Here is a 2,811-nt window from a genome sequence, read left to right on the forward strand (position 1 = left end):
ACACAGGATAAGGAGTAAAAAAGCAAAATTAATTCTGTCAAATTAAAATTAGCAAAGGAAGACAAATGTAAATAAATTTCTCAGGCCAGGCACGGTGGCTCATGCCTGTAATTCCCGCATTTTGGAAGGCCGAGGCAGGCGGATCACCCGAGGTCAGGAGTTCAAGACCAGCCTGGCCAACATGGTGAAACCCCCGTCTCTAATAAAAATACAAAAAATTAGCTGGGTGTGGTAGTGGGCACATGTAATCCCAGCTACTTGGGAGGCTGGGTCAGGAGAATCGCTTGAATCCAGGAGGTGGAGTTTGCAGTGAGTGGAGATCGCACCATTGCACTCCACCCTGGGCAACAGAGTGAAACTCCGTCTCAAAATAAATAAATAAATAAAAATAATAAATAAATAAATTTCTCAGATGCAGAGGATAAAGACAAAGACCAAAAAAAATGCTCACGAAAAGACAAAGATGCATATTCAAAAACATTCATCAACATTGTTACTTCTGATAGAAAAGAAAATCGAATCAAGCTAAATGTGTAACTAGAGGACCAATTAAATAAATTGTAGGATATTCATACATATAAGGTAGGTTTCCTTTTGGCTGCAAGCAGAAGAATACACACCCACTATCTCCCATTAAAAGAGTACTACCACAGAATCGCTCATAGAAAAAGATGTCTGGGTAGGCAGGTCCAGTTTTGATGCAGCGGTTAAGGATGTCATCTCAGACTAAAGTTCTTTCTGCCTCTCTGTTCTCATCCTCAGCATGTTGGCCTGTCACTTTTAGGCTCGTCAATTTGTGGTCACAGTACAGCTGGAATGGCTTCAAGTACCACATTCTCCTTTGATTGATTCAAAGGCAGGAAGCAGGGTTGCAGGTAGGGCAGTAAAAGCCTTGGTCGTCAGAACATCTTTTTCATCATTCCCTGCAGACTTCTTTTTAGAGTTCATTGATCAGAGCTGGCACATTTGGCCACCTCTTGCTGTAAAGGCTTAGGGAAACGAGTGTCTGCTGTTCTCAGTCTCTGCATTAACAAGGGAGAAAGGGGCTGGGGATGGCCTCTGGGTGGTCAAAAATATAACATGAGTACTCCATTGCTATTCAAAATGATATACATCAATCTTTGACTGCATCTCTGATTATTTCCTTAAGATAGAGTCTTGAATAGGAATTTCTAGGTAAATCATCATGAGCCTTTAAAAAGTCCTGGTTATGTCATGCAGTTGATTTCCAGAAAGCCAACAGAAATAGATATGTGTCAACATGTATATCTCCTGATGCCCGCACCAGTACTGAGTGAAAAACTTTGCTGAATGTTCCTGTTTGTCTGAACTTAAAAGGAGCACATGCATAGAACAAAGAGCCAGCATTTGTTAAATAGCAAAGATAAGCTCATCGAAACTAAGATAAAATAGGCCAGGCACGGTGGCTCACACCTGTAATCCCAGCACTTTGGGAGGCCGAGGTGGGTGGATCACTTGAGGCCAGGAGTTCGAGACCAGCCTGGCCAACACGGTGAAACCCTGTCTCTACTAAAAATACAAAAACTATCAAGGCGTGATGGTGCACATCTGCAGTCCTAGCTACTCATAAGGCTGAGGCAGGAGAAACACTTGAACCCAGGAGGTGGAGGTTGCAGTGAGCCGAGATTTGTGCCACTGCAATCCAGCCTAACCAATAGAGTGAGACTCTGTCTCAAAACAAAAAAAGGAAAAAAAGCCTAAGATAAAGCAAGAATGTTTCCTGTCCTCCCTCATTTCTGTTTAACAGAGATACTAACCATAGAATCATTGGATTCTTAAAAAAATGAGGAACAAATATAGGGAAAAAATAACAATACAGCAGGATTTTTGGATGACATGATCATAATTAGACCATGCAAGTAAAAAAAAAACACCTAAAAATCTATAAGGGAAATAAGGGGGGAGTGGAGAAATAGAAGAAATGAGATAAGCAAAATGTCGATAATTGTTGAAGCTGGATGATGAGTATTTGTGCAAGTTTTAAACTTTTTATAATAAAAGTTGTTTTTCCAATCTTATTGTGTTAAAATATAAATAACATAAAATTTACCATCTTAGCCATTTTCAAGTGTACAATGCAATGGTATTAAATACATTCATAATGCCATATGACCATTACCACCATCCAGCTCCAGGACTCTTTTCACCTTGCAAAACTGAAATGCTGTACCCATTAAACTCCCCATTTCCTCCTCCTTCTGGTCTCTGGCAACCACCATTCTACTTTATGTTTTTATCCATTTGACTATTCCAAGCCTTATATAAGTGGGATCATACAGTATTTGTCTTTTTTAGACTGGCTTCTTTCACTTAGCATAATATCCCAAGGTTCATCACATTGTAGTGTATGTCAGAACTGCCATCTGTATTAGTCCATTTTCACACTGCTGATAAAGACATACCCGAGACTGGACAATTTACAAAAGAAAGAGGCTTATTGGACTTATAGCTCCACATAGCTGGGGAGGCCTCATAATCACAGTGGAAGGCAAGGAGGGGCAAGTCACATCTCACATGGATGGCAGCAGGCAAAAAGAGCTTGTGCAGGGCAACTCTCATTTTTTAAAGCGTCAGATCTCATGAGACCCATTCACTATCATGAGAACAGCAGGGGAAAGACCTGCCCCCATAATTCAATCGTCTGCCGCTGGGCCCTTCCCACAACGCACAGGAATTGTGGGAGCTACAAGATGAGATTTGGGTGGGGACACAGAGCCAAACCATCTCACTATCTGTTTTTTTTGTTTTTGTTTTTGTTTTTTTGAGACGGAGTCTTTCTGTTGCCAGGCT

The sequence above is a fragment of the Homo sapiens genome, chromosome 11 (genome assembly GCF_000001405.40).
Source record: "Homo sapiens chromosome 11, GRCh38.p14 Primary Assembly".
Taxonomy (NCBI): domain Eukaryota; kingdom Metazoa; phylum Chordata; class Mammalia; order Primates; family Hominidae; genus Homo; species Homo sapiens.